The sequence below is a fragment of the Homo sapiens genome, chromosome 6 (genome assembly GCF_000001405.40).
Source record: "Homo sapiens chromosome 6, GRCh38.p14 Primary Assembly".
NCBI lineage: Eukaryota > Metazoa > Chordata > Mammalia > Primates > Hominidae > Homo > Homo sapiens.
Window position 1 is genome coordinate 127680438 of NC_000006.12, and position 17388 is coordinate 127697825.

Genomic DNA, 17388 nt, shown 5'->3' on the forward strand with positions numbered 1-17388 from the left:
AAATATATATTTATAGTAACAAGGTCTAAATTGGGAGAATATCTGGTTTTCCAAAATGAATACAAGGGACTCTAGAAAAATAATGAAAAACATTCAACAATAACAGTCAGCTGATGGTGAGTTCAAAATAATCTCTCTAAAAATCTGTCTATTTTATTCTAAATTTTTTAAAAGAAACTCTTTTCTATTTGCTCTTTATCTTCACAAGCAGTTTACACTCCTATTCTTTATGGCACTTTTCTTCATCTCTCAAGAATTTATCTTATCCTCAAGATTTTATTAATAGCAAATAGAGCATCCTTATACAATTACAAATATACAGTTCAGGTCCAGGGAGGATGAATTTGTACCTTTCTCTAGAGCCAGGTTGACTGCTATAATTATTTTTCTAAAGCTCAAAAAATGCAAACAGAAATTTGATTCAGAGTTCAGGAATGTGTTCAATCCTTAATTGTTCTAGATAACTTAGACAACCTAACAATCAACAGGTTCACTTAATCATGAGCTCCTCAGACAGGAGAACATGAATACAGTCAGGAGGCTAGAAAAGGGTAGGAAAAGATTATAATATTTCCACTGTCTATAAATTTTTATGGTCTGGAGGAGGCAAAAATAAAATTGCAAATAACTGAAGTGTACTAATGAAATTTGGCATATGGAGGGATGAAATGATGCAATAAATACAATACAAAGGCCTCTCCCATAAAACAAAAATATTTTTTCTACGTTCTCTATGAGTTGCAAAAGAATACCTACTGGACATGCGTAAAGATTTTTAAAAACCTGTATATGTATATACAGTACTTTTGCACGTTAAATATGCAGTTAACCCTTGAACAACATGCGTTTGAATGGACTGGACTTACTTATATGCCGATTTTTTTCATCCAAAGGTAACTGAAAATATATTATACACAGGATGTGAAATCTTCATGTATGGACGATCAGCTTTTTGTATACACAGATTTAGCAGGTCAGACTGTGGGATTTGAGTAAGCATGGAGTTTGGTATATGTGGGTGGTCCTGGAACCAATTCACCAAGTATATTGAGGGATTACTTTATTATTTGATTTTCTGTAAGTATAATTACCATCTACTTCAAAGAAAATTTCTGTATAATTTTGTTTAAAATTCTGTTGTTTTTCATCATTTTGATAAATAATATCACCTAAAGCAATGCTGTCCACATTATTTCTATTGGTAAAAAACACACAATTTTATTAGAATTTATTTATAATTTTCAGTCACAGGGTTTGACTTACAAGTGCAATTATCTGCCTTAATATCATTTTTAAATTGTGCCAAGCATTTTATGCATTAAAATACATATTTTATTATCAATTTTTTTCTTTTGGTTTATAGTTCCTGTTTCTGTTTTGTTGAATTTCTTTATAAACTTGTATGTGAAGATAGAATACGTTATCTACAAAAATCACTAAAGGTTTTTTAAATTCTGATAAAGCATTTATCATGAAAGCAGAGCATTAAGAGTAACCAAGAAGTGACAATAGAAAGTCAGTGGAACAAAAGATCCTGGGATCACTCAAACACACAGATGTACAATTAACAACTATTAAAAGACAAGGATGCCACCCTGGATTCACCGTAACTTGGAGGAGAAACCCCCTGGGCCGACAGAGGCAAGAAAAACTGTGACCTCAAGAGGAATGGTCATTTTAGACTCTGCCACTCCCTGCTTCACAGCAGCAAAATACCACTCACAGAGAAATTTCTGAACCCAGGAATTCCAAGGTGGGAGGAGGGAATTGGAGGTGAAAGTCTGATCTCCCCGCTGCTCTGGCAGTCTTCACAGAAAGCACGCTTTGGCCCTGTCCCATGGAAGAGCTGAACCACTTAGGGTAAACATGAGACAAGGAACAGGATGCTGATCACAGTGACCATCCCACAGATCATGATGGCTACTCTGTGCTCCAATTAGTGGAGCTGTCACGCAGAGGAGATTGGTTATGCCATAGCACTGTTAGGGCATTATCCATGGGAAGGCCTAAGTCCCTGGCCAGATTCCCCAATTATCTCAGGTGCTCCTATGGAGCCTTTTCCTGACCAAGAAACATTTAAAATGTTACAATTAAGCTCTGGTGCTTGCTTAAGTCTTTCTCAGACCCAGAAACCACTGCAGCTTTAAGTTGCAGTGTAGCAATTAACTTGTGGTGTGAACTGTACATTCTCCCCAGAACAGGGCAACAACAGGCCAGCAATTAAATTCTGATATTAAGTAGTAAAGGTTTAACACTCAAAGAACACCTGCGAAAGCTGAAGAGGTGGCCATGTCCTCAAATGCACAGATACCAATGTAAGGACACAGGATTGTGAAAAATCAGAAAAATGACGCCACCAAAAGAAACCAATAAAGCTCCAGCAACCAATCCCCCAAAATTGAAGGTGACAAGATATATTGAGACAAGAAAATGAGAAATTGACAAAGAAATAAAAACAATTTAAAAAACAAATATAAATCCCAGAAATAAATAATACAATAACTGTACTCAAAACTTAATAGAAAGCTTCAGAAAACGGACTTGATCAAACAGAACAAAGAATCAGTGAGGTCAAAGACAGAACATATGAAATTATCTAATTAGAGGAGCAAAAAGAAAGAATTTTAAAAAGTGAAGAAGGCTTATGGGACTTATTGGATACCGTCAAACAAACTAACCTTCGCATAATAGGAGTTCCCAAAAGACACAAGAAAGAAAAAGGCCTATAAAGCGTATTTGAGAAGAAAAAAACAGCTGAAAATTCTCAAATCTGGAAGAAGACGACAGCATCCAGGTACAAGATGCTCCGAAGTCACCAATAAGACTCAACCCAAAGAGAAATTCCCCAAGGCACATCATAATAAAATTATTAAAAATCAGAGACAAAAAAGAATATTGAAAGTGGCAAGAAAAAAGAAACGTATTATATTCAACAGAGACCCCCATGGGGTTTTCAGCAGATTTCTCAGCATAAACCCTCAGGGCCAGGAGAGAGTGGGACAATACATTCACAGTGCTGAAGGAAAATATTGCAAACTAAAATACTGTGCCCAGCAAAGCTATTCTTCAAACATAAAGGATAGATAAAGATTTTTTCAGGCAAACAAATTTGAGGGAATTGATCAAAACCAGATCTATCTCATAAGAAATGTCAAAAGGAGTTCCTCAGTTTGAAAGAAAAGGGTGCTAATATGTAACAAGAAAACATCTGAAGGTATAAAACTCACTAGTAAAAGTATAAGGACAAATTCAAATATTCTAATACTGAAATTGTGGTGTGTAAACCACATACATCTTTAGTATGAAAACTAAGACAAAACTATTAATAAATAACAATAATAACTGCAATTGATTAAGAGATAGGAAATATAAAATAACGTTAATTGAGACCTCAAAAAGTGAAAATGTGGGGGGGAAATGATGTTAAGTGTAGAGTTTGGTTTTGTTTCTTTTCTTTGCTTGCAACTAAAGATGTCATTCAGCTTAAAATAACCTGTTCTAACTATAAGATGATTTTTGTAAGCCTCATGATAACAGCAAAGCAAACATCTACAATAGATGATACACTAAAAATAAATAGCACAGAACCAAAGCATACTACTAGAGAAAATCACTTAACCACAAAGGAAAACTGTAAGAGAAGAAAAAAGGAAGAAAGGATCTACAAAACATCCAGAAAACAAGTGATGAAATGACAGTAGGAAGTCCTTACTCATCAATAATAACCTTGAAGTAAACAAATCAAAGTTGAAGTCCCCAATTAAAAGACATGATGTGGTTGAACTGATTTAAAAGAAAAGACCCAACTATAGGCTAGTACAAGAAACTCACTCACCTATAAAGACATGAATTGTGTGGACATTTCTCCTCTTTGTAAGGAGATTAGCTGTATTGGATTAAGGACAAATTGTGCTCCAGTATGATCTCATATTAACTAATTACATTTGTAACGACTTCATTTCCAAATACAGTCACATTCTGAGATATTAGGGGCTAGGATTTCGAAGTATAAATTTTTTGGGGGTGCACACAATTCAACCCAAAACAATTGCTCTATCAGTTTGCATTCCTGCTGCTATGTATGAGAGTTCCAGATCTTCCACATCCTTGTCAACACTTGATACTGTCAGTATTTTAGCCGTTCTAACAGGTGTGCAGTGGTACTTATCATAGTTTGTATATGCATTTTCTTAATGGAAAACTGAGATTTTGTGTGTAGACAATCAGGTTGTCTGTGAGGAGGAGCACTTTCATTTCTGTTTTTCTGTAGGTCTTTTCACTACTGTATTCTGATTGCAGAAGGAAACCATTCAGTCTTTCACCAGTAAGTATAATGTTAACTGTAGGGTTTTTATAATGCCTTCTAATCAAGTTGATGAAGTTTCCTTCTATTCCTAGTTTGCTGAAAGTTTCTAAGTGATAAATAGAGTTTGCATTTTATCACATGCTTAATCTGCATTAATTTATATAATCTTATGGAATGTATATTTTAATGTGAATTACATTGACTAATTTTAAATATCAAACCAGCTTTGTATGCTCACGAAACCTCCCTTTGTAGTGATATATTTTTCCTCTTATATATTGCTGAATTCCATTTGATAATACCTGATTGAGAATCTTTAAAATCAAAATTCAGGAGGCATATTGGTCTGTGGGTTTGTTGGTTTGCCTTTTTTTTGGTCTGGTTTTAGCATCAGGGTAATGTTACACTTATAAAATAGGTTGGTAAATGTTTGCCTGTCTTCTGCTTTCTGAAACAGATGTATAGAATTTTCAAGTTTTTTCTTTCTATTTTTCATATGGATAATTTCTTTGCTCTTTCTTTAGTCAATTCCATTCTCTGCTATTAAGTTTATTCTTCAAGTATTTTACTTCTATCACTATATATATATATCTCCATTTTATAATTTCAATTTATATATTTTATTTTTATTTGTTAAAAATGTTCATGATTATACATTTGAGCAATTTAAAAATAGCTGCTTTAATATCCCTGTCAGATAATTCCAACATCTACATCATCTGATTGTAGGCATCTGTTGATTGTATTTTCCCATCAAAGTTGACATTTTCATCTCTCTTCACATATATATTTTCTATCGTATCCTGGATATTTTGATTATTATGTTATAGGACTCTGGGTTTTACTTAAATCCTATGGAAAATGTTGATATTTTTGGTTTTGCAGGCAATCTACTTGTTAAAACAAAAGTTCAGGCTGCAAATTTCTACCCATCTTCTATAGCATATAGTTACTGCTTCAGTTCAATTTCAAAGTTTTTGCAGTGGCTCAGTACTATTTGGATTTGTCCCTTGTGTACACTACTCAGTTGTCAGTCTGGGACCTATATAATAACCTATGCATTAGCTCAGTTCTCCAAACTCTTTGGTATGCTGACTAGAACCAGATTCATGCATATGCAGGTTGAAGTCAGCCCAGAAGTTCATAAACAACTTTATGGGTTCTCTTCCTGAGTTCTCATTCATTATAGCATCTCATTCCATAAAATAGATGAAGTGCTGCTCTGGGCATGGCAGCACTGTTGATTTTTATAAGGTTGGGACAAGTAAACGGGATAAAAAACAAAAACAGATTGGTTAACATAAGATTACTTCAGTTGCTTTTAAGAGTTAAAGCAAAGAGGACTTCATAATTACACTGGCTTAGGTCAAATGGGCCCTTTCTAATTGGTTGCTGCAAATATGCTAATTTCAGGAAAGTATTATTTAGTATTCCATGACTAGGTTAAATTAAAACACAGAGTGAGAACAAATAGGTCTAGAATCTGATCCCATAAAAGGGAGCAGTAGTGCAATTTGAGCAGTTATGTTAGGAATGTTGCTAAAGTGAGCTCATGGGTGGACTAAAGGATCTCTTACATAATGTAAAGATTTGGGTTTGGCATGAGAGATTCAACACTCCCTCAAGTTACCCACAGAAGCTACTAATTGTGAGACTTTAATGACAGTATTATACTTCCAAGCAAAAGAGGGAAACATAGGAAAGGAAAATAATTAAGAGGGGTAAGAGTCTCATGATGATGAATCTTATTCTTATGTCTTGGGAAAAGCTGTCCACAACTTGAAGTTGTCAACTTCTCATCCTGTTTGCAGTATGAAGGTCTCTGGTTGTGGCATTTGTCATTTCAGTGAACTCTCAAGGCACAAAGTTGCCCCTAGAAAATGATGTTGACTTGTCGGGCTCCAGATTATAGGGCTTCAAGAACAGAACTGTTCTTGTCACTAGTGGAAGCCAGATATTGAAGGGAACAAGAAAAGTTTGAGGATCCAGTCCAATCTACAGGTAGATAATAAAAATTCAAAAACAGCCAGGCTTGGTGGCTCACGCCTGTCATCCCAGCACTTTGGGAGTCTGAGATGAGCAGATTACCTGAGCTCAGGAGTTCAAGACCAGCCTGGCCAACATGGCAACACCCCATCTCTACTAAAAATACAAAAATTAGCCAGATGTGATGGCGGGCACCTGTAATCCCAGCTACTCAGGAAGCTGAGGTAAGCAAATCGCTTAAGCCTGGGAGGCAGAGGTTGCAGTGAGCTGAGATCGCACCACTGCACTCCAGCCTGGGTGACAGAGTGAGACTCTTTCTCAAAATAAATAAATAAATAAACAAATAAACAAACAATGAATAGAGCTATAATCCAATAACAAGTATACTATAGTTTTTTTAGAAACGTACTTTTTATCTCTATAGTCACCCCAATTTCTACCTGAGTTAATCAAAGTAAGACTAATTTGTTTATAAAAATAAATTTACTCTCATCATACTTTGCCTGATTATGTAAGCACAGCAAAAATAGTGATTGACAATATAGGCCCCTTTTTCACGTTGAAGACTTCTGATACAACTATGAAGCAAATCCTTATTTTTTTTTTTTTTAAACTTGTTTTAGGTTTAGGGGTACATGCTATATAAGTAAACTTGTGTCACAGCGGTTTGTTTTACAGATTATTTCATGAGCCAGGTATTAAGCCTAGTACCCAATAGTTACATTTTCTTCTCCTCTCCCTCCTCCCACCCTCCACCCTCAAGTAGACCCCAGGTTCTGTTTTTCCCTTCTTTGTATTCATGAGTTCTCATCATTCAGCTCTCACTTATAAGTGAGAATATGTGTTATTTGGTATTCTATTCCTGTGTTAATTTGCTAAAGATAATAGCCTCGTGCTCCATCCATGCTCCTTCAAAACATGATCTTGTTCTTTTTCATGGCTGTATAGTATTCCATGATGTATATGTACCACATTTTCTTTATCCAATGTGTCATCGATGGACATTTAGGTTGATTCCATGTCTTTGCTATTGTGAATAGTGCTGCAGTGAGCATTCACGTGCATGTGCCTTTATGGTAGAATGATTTATATTCCTCTGGGTATACACCCAGTAAAGGGATTGCTGGGCTTAATGGTAGTTCTGCTTTTAGCCCTTTGGAGGATCGCCATTCTCCTTTCCACAATTGTTGAGCTAATTTACACTCCCACCATCAGTATCTAAGTGTTTCCTTTTCTCCGCAACCTCACCAGCATCTGTTATTTTATGACTTTCTAACAATAGCCATTCTGACTGGTGTGAGATGGTATCTCACTGTGGCTTTGATTTGCATTTCTCTAATTCTCAGTGATATTGAGCTGTTTTTCATAAGCTTGTCAGCCACATGTATGTCTTATTTTGAGAAGTGTCTGTTCATGTCCTTTGCCCACTTTTTAATGGGATTGTTTGTTTTTCTTGTAAATTTGATTATGTTTCTTATAAATCTGACCTTTGTCAGATGCATAGTTTGCAAATATTTTATCCCATTTTGTAGATTAACTGTTTACTCTCCTAATAATTTCTTTTGTTGTGCAGAAGCTCTTAAGTTTAATTAGATCCCATTTGTCAATTTTTGGTTTTGTTAAGATTGCTTTCAATGTCTTTGTCATAAAATCTTTGCCCATTCCTGTGTCCAGGATGGTATTGCCTAGGTTGTCTTCCAAGAGTTTACAATTTTGCTTTTTACATTTAAGTCTTTAATCCATCTTGATATGATTTTTGTATATGGTGTAAGGAAGGGGTACAGCTTCAATCTTCTGCACATGGCTAGCCAGTTATCCCAGCACCATTTACTGAATAGGAAATCTTTTACCATTGCTTATTTGTTTAGCATTGTTGAAGATCAGATGGCTGTAGGTGTGCAGCCTGATTTCTGGGCTCTCTATTCTGTTCTACTGGTCTGTGTGCCTGTTTTTGTACCAGTACCATGCTGCTTTGGTTACTGTAGCCTGTAGTATGGTTTGAAGTCAGGTAACATGATGCATCCAGCTTTGTTCTTTTTGTTTATGATTGCCTTGACTATTCAGGCTTTTTTTTTTTTGGTTCCATATGAATTTTAAAATAGTTTTTCCTAGTTCTATGAAGAATGTCATTGGTAGTTTGATAGGAATAGCATTGAATATATAAATTGCTTTGAGCAGTATGCAATTTTGATAATATTGATTCATCCTCTCCATGAGCATGGGATGCTTTTCTATTTCTTTGTCTTTTCTGATTCTTTGAGCCATGTTTTGTAATTCTCATTGTAGAGATCTTTTACCTTACTGGTTACCTGTATTCCTAGGTATTTTATTCTTTTAGTGGCAATTGTGAATGGGATTGCCTTCCTGATTTACCTCTCAGCTTGGCTGTTGTTGGCCCCTTTAAGTTTACTTTCCTGAATCTTTTTATAAGAAATATCAGATTTGTCTTTTAAAAGCCTCTCAAAGCTATAATGTCAAGCCAAGGACTCATCATCAAACTTTGCCTGCAATACCTATAGATTTTAGTGAATTCCTCTTGTCTTGGGCTCTCCAAAATATCCTGAGGTTCCTGGGCCTGCCAGGAAGTGAGAGCCACTATGAGGCTGAGAATCTTTGAAGCTAGATGTTCTTTGTATCTTCTCAAATATAGTATCCCAGTCAGAGTCTTAGTAATATAACCGGTATTTCCAATTCTGTCCTGTTATAAAGAAAACAGAGTCTTATTGAACTTTTGCAATTCACTGTATTGCCAAGAAATAAGAAAATCAACAAGTAGCTTTGTGAATTCTGGAAGAATCAGGTAGGGAGAAAAGGTAAATATTTTAATTCTGTTTACAAAAGCGTATGTTACCAATATGCTATAGATAGCTTAAGAAAAAATTTAAAATTTCCTTAGTTCAGGAAAATAAAACATTTAAGAACCTCCAAAATTTTGAATAGAAAGTCAAAAAACATTATCCTCAGCAGAATGAACATCATGCAATTCTTATTTTGCTTGATCTTGTTACAGCTGTTGCATGAAGCCATTAGGTTTTTCATTAGAGTTTTAAAAATTCTTACCCAGTCCAATGATAAGATCACAAAGTTATCAGCAGCAATCTGTATTTCAGAGTACCTGTCAGAGTCTTTTTCATGAATGTCCTTGAAGATAAGGCAATTTTAAACTGTAGCTGATTACAAACACTTTCAGAGAAGAATCAAAGTAAAGCAATTAACTGTCCATGAACGACAAGAGTTAAATTGCCCATTGTTAAAAAATCTGATGACAGCTTATTATAACAATAATGTAATTACAAGGAGATGTGGTTATTTTTGTGACATAACTATATTTTAGACTTGGATGTTACTACCTTTTAGGATGTAAAGAAAAAGAGATTGAGTGAAGTTAGAAGCAATTTTTTTAAACTTGAATATTACAAATGTTAACTTTCTATATGCTCCAACTTAACTGAACCTTAGAATTGAATTCTATATTGTGTTTGAAAAACAGTGGTAAAAAAAGGGAGAAGCAAGCTTTTGAGAAATGCAACTGCTTAGATTTATAAACTAGACAACTAGCAGCATCTAGTGGTCATGCTCATGATCAACCCCTGTCTTCATTTTCATTGTTGCTTGGAATTAACTTGCATTCCAAGGCTTGGCAGATATTTTGAATTAAGTAAAAACCACATGTGAAAAAAAAACAAAAAACTTAAACTAAACATCAGTTTCAATGTATATGTGTTGTAAACATACAACACATATACTGTTGTTTATAATTGCGTTCAATTTCTGATAGAATTTAATACATTGAATAAAACTTATCTAAGACAGTGTTCAGCTGCTTTATTTGTCTTAAGAAGGGTTGTGATTTTGCCACATTTAGGGGACTGGACTTAATTTTATCAATTTCAATATTAAATGTTCAGTTGATATTTTGGAACTATTATGGAAAACTGTATTATTTTAACTGATAATATTGACATGGATTTTGAACAAATATTTATTTTATTCATTTGTTTGAAATTGAGTTATAAGCACAACAGTTTTCCATCCTTGAAAGCACATGACAGTGAGGTTTATACACATGGTTAAAAAATGATAATAGGTAATAATTACTTGGTGGCAAAAGAAAGGTAGCCAGGAGTTTTTATGATTCTCATGACCAATCTGCAAATAAATAATCAAAAGTTGAATGCAGATTAAAAACTGTCAGGAAATGGGTGATTTCTACTAACATCATTCAAATGCTCTAAAAATTATCTATTTCACATGCTGATAGTATGTTACATGGATACTAAATACACAAGGATTATAAGCAAAAATGCAGGAGGGGAAATGGAAGAAAGAGACTAATGACGTTTATGCACCTTTCAAGTGCCAGGCACTGGGTTGTGCTTCATGTGCATCCATCATTATCCTTCATCTCCATGACAATTCTACTGGCAGGTGTCTTTGTCCCCCATTTAATAGATAATGGAATGAAGTCCTGCTCCTGTGATCACACAAGTAGTAAGTGACCAAGGTAAATTTGAATTTGACCAAATCTGACTAAAAATTGATGTTCTCAGAGTTTATCAACTCATTATATACACAAAATCTATAGTCTGGGAAAAAAAGTTTTTTACAATATCAGCATTTTTTTAGTCCTGTCATTGTTTTGCAAGCCCTGAAAAGACATAACTTCAGAGTAAAGGAGTGAACAATGTGCCATCCCCAAATATGCCTACTTGGTATGTTGATTATTCTGAGTTAAAAACATTAGAGAAATAATTTCAGAAAGGCTGAGCTGACCTATCTCTTTCTACCTGCAGCAAACAATAAAGATTCCTCTGGAAGGGGTACTCTCTCCATATCAGGGTCAGAAAATAGCCCGTATCACCAGAGACTTGGAATTGAAGGCTACAGTGGACCTAAATAAACATAATTAATGAAGTAATCCTCATCCTTCACCTGTTTTACACTTTCCCATGTATTTCTTAGTAACTCCCCTGGAAAATTTTTACCACTGTAGCCAGATTTTCTTTGTCCTATCATTTCTTCTCAAATCTATCACTCTATGTCTAAAAAGTATCAAGGCATCTTGCTTTGGCCACTTCTTTTGACTTCCCTCTCTTGTGAAGAACCCCATGTGCATGTAAAACTAATAAAATTTGTATGCTTTTCTCTTATCAACCTGCCTGGTGTCAATCTGGTTTCTCCATCCAGCTGAAGAACCTATTAAGAGTTAAAAGGGGGGTTGGAGGTGACCCCTGGCTCCCTACAAGTGTCATCTGTTATCTTGAAAGATGCTCCACTGGTCAAGCATGACTCTTACTCATCAGTGAACAAACATTTTCATTTTACACATTTATTCAACTATTCTCTCAGGTACTTGTAGGACTGGAGAACAAAACAGGTAGGACATTGCTTTCATGGAGTTATGGTCTAGTTGGGAAAGATGTAACAGGTTTCAAAGGTAATAAAACTGTGCTAAACATGAAAGGAACAAATACACAATGCTTGGAAATGTTTTGAAACCTCCACAATTAAAGATAAGGCTTAAGATAAAAATCTAAGTTAGAAGTGGTATTACAAAATAAATGTATATAGCATTAGAGATTTATTCATTCAAAAATCATACATTTTGCACCTACGATGTGGTGCTGTTGATATCAAACAGATGATACAAACAGCCTAAACACCAAGAACTCAGTAAAAATATATGCAAACCATTATTCACAATACTGAAGATACACTAGTGTACAATATGTACTATAGTGGTAGAGGAGAAGAAGGAATGTTGGTGTCTGCTTTGATGAAACTTGCAGAGTTCACAAAGGAAATATTCAAACTCTGTTGGTTACTATCCAGATTAAGGTGTAACAGAAGATAATGACAGAGGAGTCCACATAAAGGCAAGAAAGAGATGGAGAGAAGTAGATGAATTTGAGACATATTTAAAGGCAATAATACATTAAGGGTAATGTCTCCTCATTATGATAGAATAGTACACCCTTCCCAAGTAAGTAAGATGAGAAGAAGCTGTTGACTGTGTCTGGCACACTAACTGGTCTAAACTGACACGTTCCCTTTCCTTGAAGCCTTCTCAAATGGTCAATAATTATTCGTTTCCTATTTTGGCAATACTGTTTAATATAGGTATAACATTGGTCCTTAGTTCTTTTTGAAAGTATATTTATTGTCAAAAAGTTAAACTATATATACCTCCATACTTTAGGCCCACAGCAAGAAAGGGCACTTTTATACTTTTTGGTACATAAACGCATGCACACACACACACACACACACACAGGCACTCACAGACACACACTTAATAAATGAGAACATACTACTCACAACTCCACTGTCCCTCATTTTACCCATCTGTCTGTTTGTGTGTCGGATAGTACCACATATCAATCGTTATTTAGATTGTTTGCAATTTTGCACTATTTAAAACAGTGCCCATCTGTGTTTATTTTTCATGGCCTAATTTGTGATGATAACCTAGAATAAATTCCTGGAAATGAAACTGCTGAGTTAAAAGGTAAATATTTTTTAATCGATATTGTCAAATTGCACTCAACAATTTTGTTTTACTTTATATTCTCACCAAGAAACACATTAAGTTCCTGTTTCTGCACACCCACACTCAGTTTAGGAAAGCTTTAAATCTGTGCTTCTATGATAGATGAAATATGATACTTAAATGTCAATTTGATTAACTTATGAGTTTGTGTACTTTACCCATTTTTTATTTTATTATTTTTGTTTCTCTCGTTGTATATGTGTGCTTTGAAATTGAAAGTATAAATGTTTTAATTTCAAAACCCTTATCTACATTAAGTCCTATGTATAAACATTAACTTTTTATTTTAATTAAATTTAATTAGTTTAAAAATATTTTAAAACTTGACTATGTAGTTTAAATTTTAACCATCATTTATATATATGTATGACTATACATCTACATATCTACATCATGTATTGTAAAATACAGAGGAAGAATTGTCATACTCCTTTCTAAGTTTGTATCAGATGCCAACATTGTATCTTCCAATGATGTGAAATATCTTAGAGAATTTCTTTCAAGTGAAGTATTTGTGCTGTTACCACCACCTCGTCTTCAACATCTTTGTCCTTTTTGTCAGAACCACTTTCCTTATGCATGTCATTAAGTGGGAACTTCACTAAGTTCCTCTGGCTGTGTAATTAGAGTCTCTTAATGGCAGCTATTTTCCCATAACTCCATTCATATTTGACTCACATTTCCCTGCTGGTGTTACTTTTTGTTTTTTTGCTGCACTTTTATGTATGTTGACTTCTTTAATTCCCTCTTTGGATTATTCACTTTTATAAAATGTCAGGTGGGTTTTTCAGTAGGAGACCAGGAAGCAACATAACAAAATGCTTTGCTGTCTGTGGGAACTGAATTACAGATGTGCAGTGAACATTCACTAACAAACTTTAAAAGAAGTTACATCATTGGCCACTGATCACAATGTATCCATGTTATTTACATAAGCATTTACGGTCTGAAAAGCTAGCAGCAACATTTGTACTTTACTCTGTTACTCAGTTAATATACTGTGAAAACTAAAATTTGAACTGCGTTGTTGGGGAATTACTATTATTTGGTATTATTTAACTAAATCATGGTAATTGAAATCTGTACATATTGGAACTGTGCAAGGAAGGACTATCTGTATACACGTACATATGTGTGTGAGTTTATTTCAATACCATATGTACAAATACATGGTGTTAGTTTATTAGTGCTGCCATAACAAAGTACACATACTGAATGGCTTAAATAACAGAAATTTATTTTCTCACAGTTCTGGAGACAAGAAGTTGAAATCAAGGTGTTGGCAGAGGTGGTTTCTTTGAGGCCTTTCTCCTTGCTTTGTGGATGGCCATCTTCTCCCTCTGTCTTCACATGGTTTTTCCTCTGTGTGCTCATATTCCCATGTCCAAATTTCCTCTTCTTATAAGGACATTAATCATATTGGATTGTAGCCCGCCATATAACCTCACTTTAATTACCTCCTTAAAGGACCTTTCTCCAAATACAGTCACATTCTAAAGTACTAAGTTTAGGACTTTAACATGTTAATTTTGGATGGCCACAATTCAACCCAAAACCCTCCAACTCTCTGGCCCTCCAAAATTCATGTCCTCTTCACATGCAAAATATATGAGTTCTTTCCCAATAGCTCAAAATATTTAACCCATTCCAGTATTGAATCCAAGTCTAAAAGTTCATCTAAATATCATCTAAATCAGGCATAGTGAGAATCAAGCTATGATTATCCTCAGGCAAAATTCCTCTTCAGCCTGAACCTATAGAACTGCAAAAGTTATCAACTTACTAAATGCAATGGTAGGGCTGGCATACAATAAACATCCCATTTCCAAAAGGGATAAATCAGAAAGAAGAAAGGGGTCAGAGGTCCCAGGCAAGTCCAAAACCTACCAGGGCAAATTCCAGTATATTTTAAGGGTCAAGGATAATCCCTTTTGTTTCAATTCTTTGTCTTCAGGACCCACTGGGGAGGTGAGCCTGCCCCCCAGGGCATCTGGGGTGGCAATTTTGCTCCCTTGGCCCTGGATAATGGCAGCCTGGCCTGCTGAAACCAAGGTGGTGGCCCCACCCTCTGAAACTGGAGAAGAGACAGCCCTGTCACCCAGGCCTGAGACTCTGAGCCCATGGTAATAGTGGCAGTCCCACCTTTGGAGTCATTTTTCTCTTTTCTTGAAGAATAGCACAGATTTTCAGCCAGATACCCCAATTGGCCCATCCTATGGAATCTCAGAAGTCTGGTGGCTTTCCTTCACTCTCTCCCATCACTGTCCCTTTTACTCCAAGCTGGCAGTTTTTCTGCTGATATAAAATTCTCAAAAATAACCTTGTTGACTTCATAGGGATCCAAGCCATCAGACAAGAGTGCCCTCCACATATTTTTCCTGGATAATCACATCTCTATTCTTGCCTTCTGGTGAGATCGTTGATTCAATCCATGTGTCACATTCATAATTTCTTTATGAAATGAATGACCAGTCACACCCTTGTTTTCTGTTCAGAAGAAGCTTTCTCATTTTTTGGCCATATGAATAAACTGATAATTTTCTAAATCTCAAGTTTTGACTCCTTTATTCTTAATGATCCTTTGATGTATCTCTCTTCTCTTGCATTTTACCATAAGCATCAAAAAGAAACCTGGCCACACTTTCAAAAGTTTGCTTAGAAATCACCTCAGCTAAAGACCTGGGTTAATCACAAGTTCTACCTTTCATAAAACACTAGAGCACAATTCAGTCATGTTCTTTGCCACTGTATAATAGGTATTGACTTTGCTCCAGTGTCCAAAACATATTTCTCATTTCCACCTAAGGTTTCACAGTAGCACTTTTTAATTTTTTTTTTTTTTTGAGACAGAGTCTTGCTGTGTTGCCCAGGCTGGAGTGCAGTGGCGTGATCTCGGCTCACTGCAACTTCTACCTCCTGGTTCAAGAAATTATCCTGCCTCAAACTCCCAAGTAGCTGGGATTACAGGCATGTACCACCATGCCCAGCTAATTTTTATATTTTTAGTAGAAATGGGGTTTTGCCTTGTTGGCCAGTCTGGTCTTGAACTCTTGACCTCAAGAGAACTGCCCACCTTGGCCTCTTAAAGTGCTGGGATTACAGGTGTGAGCCACCGCACCCGGCCCCACAGTAGCACTTTTAATGTCCGTATTTCCACCAACTGTTTCTTTAAGGCAAGCTAAGCTTTTTCTAACATGGCATCATCAGTCTTCCAGCCTCTACTCGTTACCCATTTCCAAAGCCACTTCCACACTTATTGTTATTTTTACAGTTGGCATCCCACTCTCAGTATCAAAATCTGTATTAGATTGCTAAGGCTATCATAACAAAAAACAAAATACCATTTCCTGGGGGGTTTGAATAACAGAGATTTATTTTCTAAGAGTTCTGGAGGCAAGGAGTCTGAGATCACAGTGTTAGCAGAGTTTTGTGATTTGTTTTGCTTTGGTTTTTATTTTTTATTTTTTTAGACTGCCCTCCATAGATTGTAGATAGCTTTCTCTCTGTCTTTACATAGTCTTTCCTCTGTGCATGTGTATGTCTAATGTCCAAATTTCCTTTTCTTATAAAGGCACCAATCTACTGGATTGGGCCCATCTTACCCTTTTTACCTTAATTACATCTATCCCAAATACAGTCACATTCTGAGGCACTGGATGTGAAGGCTTCAATATATGATTTTGGACACGCACAATTCAACTCAAAATATATGATAACACATGCGCCCACACACACATACACGTACATGTATGTGTATACTACTCTAAAATTTGTGTCTACAGCCTAGACCCCTCTCCCGACTCATATATGCAATTGCGTGAGGGCTAAAAGGCATACAAAAATTAATGTGTCCAAAACTGAGCCTCTGAGAATAATTCCCAAATCAGCACTTCCTGCACTATTCTTTATTATAGTCAATGGTAACTCCATTTGAATGGACCAAAATTCTTCAAGTCATCCTTGACTCCTCTCTATTTCCCACAACTATATCCATGCCTTCCACAAATTCTAATAGTTCTACCTTTCCAAAATACGTACAAAATTTGATTCTCATTCTTACCACCTGGATTCCGGCAACTGTCATCTCTGAAGGATTGTTGCATTAGCCCCCTCACTGATATTGCTTCTTCTGCTCTTCCTCACGTATATTGTACCCTCAAGCAATAGGCATAACAGTTCTAGGAAAATAAGAAACCATCAGTTTCTCAAAACCCTCCAGTGACTCCCATCTCATTCAATGAAAAACTAAATTCCTTAATGTTACCTCCAAAGCTCCCTATTTTCTAGTTTTCTCTACTTTTCTTACTTTTTTCCCTAGCTATTCTCCAATTCAAGAACCCCTTGGTCCCACTGAACATGTCATGTATGTTTTGACTTCAAGTCTTTTGCAATTGTTAATCTCAATGCCTTGGTATTCTCTCTCCAGATGTTCATATGACTACTGTGATCACTTCCTCAGGATTTTAATGAAATGTTCATTTTCTTTAAGGCTTTTACTGCATATCTGAATAGCACTGCCACTTCTAGAGCCCCTTTCCTGTATTAA

The 17388-nt window shown here is 35.6% G+C and overlaps 1 protein-coding gene and 1 long non-coding RNA gene across 3 annotated transcripts in view; one reads left to right on the plus strand and one right to left on the minus strand.

Moving 5' to 3' along the window:
- The first annotated feature begins 29 nt into the window (after window positions 1-29).
- Window positions 30-4324, plus strand: LOC124901400 (uncharacterized). Its single transcript, XR_007059751.1, has 3 exons — window positions 30-116; window positions 894-973; window positions 4271-4324. It is a non-coding gene; the product is annotated as an uncharacterized LOC124901400 (long non-coding RNA).
- Window positions 16191-17388, minus strand: part of THEMIS (thymocyte selection associated) — a 221968-nt gene continuing 220770 nt past the window's right edge. For both annotated transcript variants that reach the window (XM_047418766.1, XM_047418764.1), the window contains exon 8: window positions 16191-17020. The gene's annotated coding sequence lies outside the window, so the exon portion shown is untranslated. The remainder of the gene's footprint in view (window positions 17021-17388) is intronic.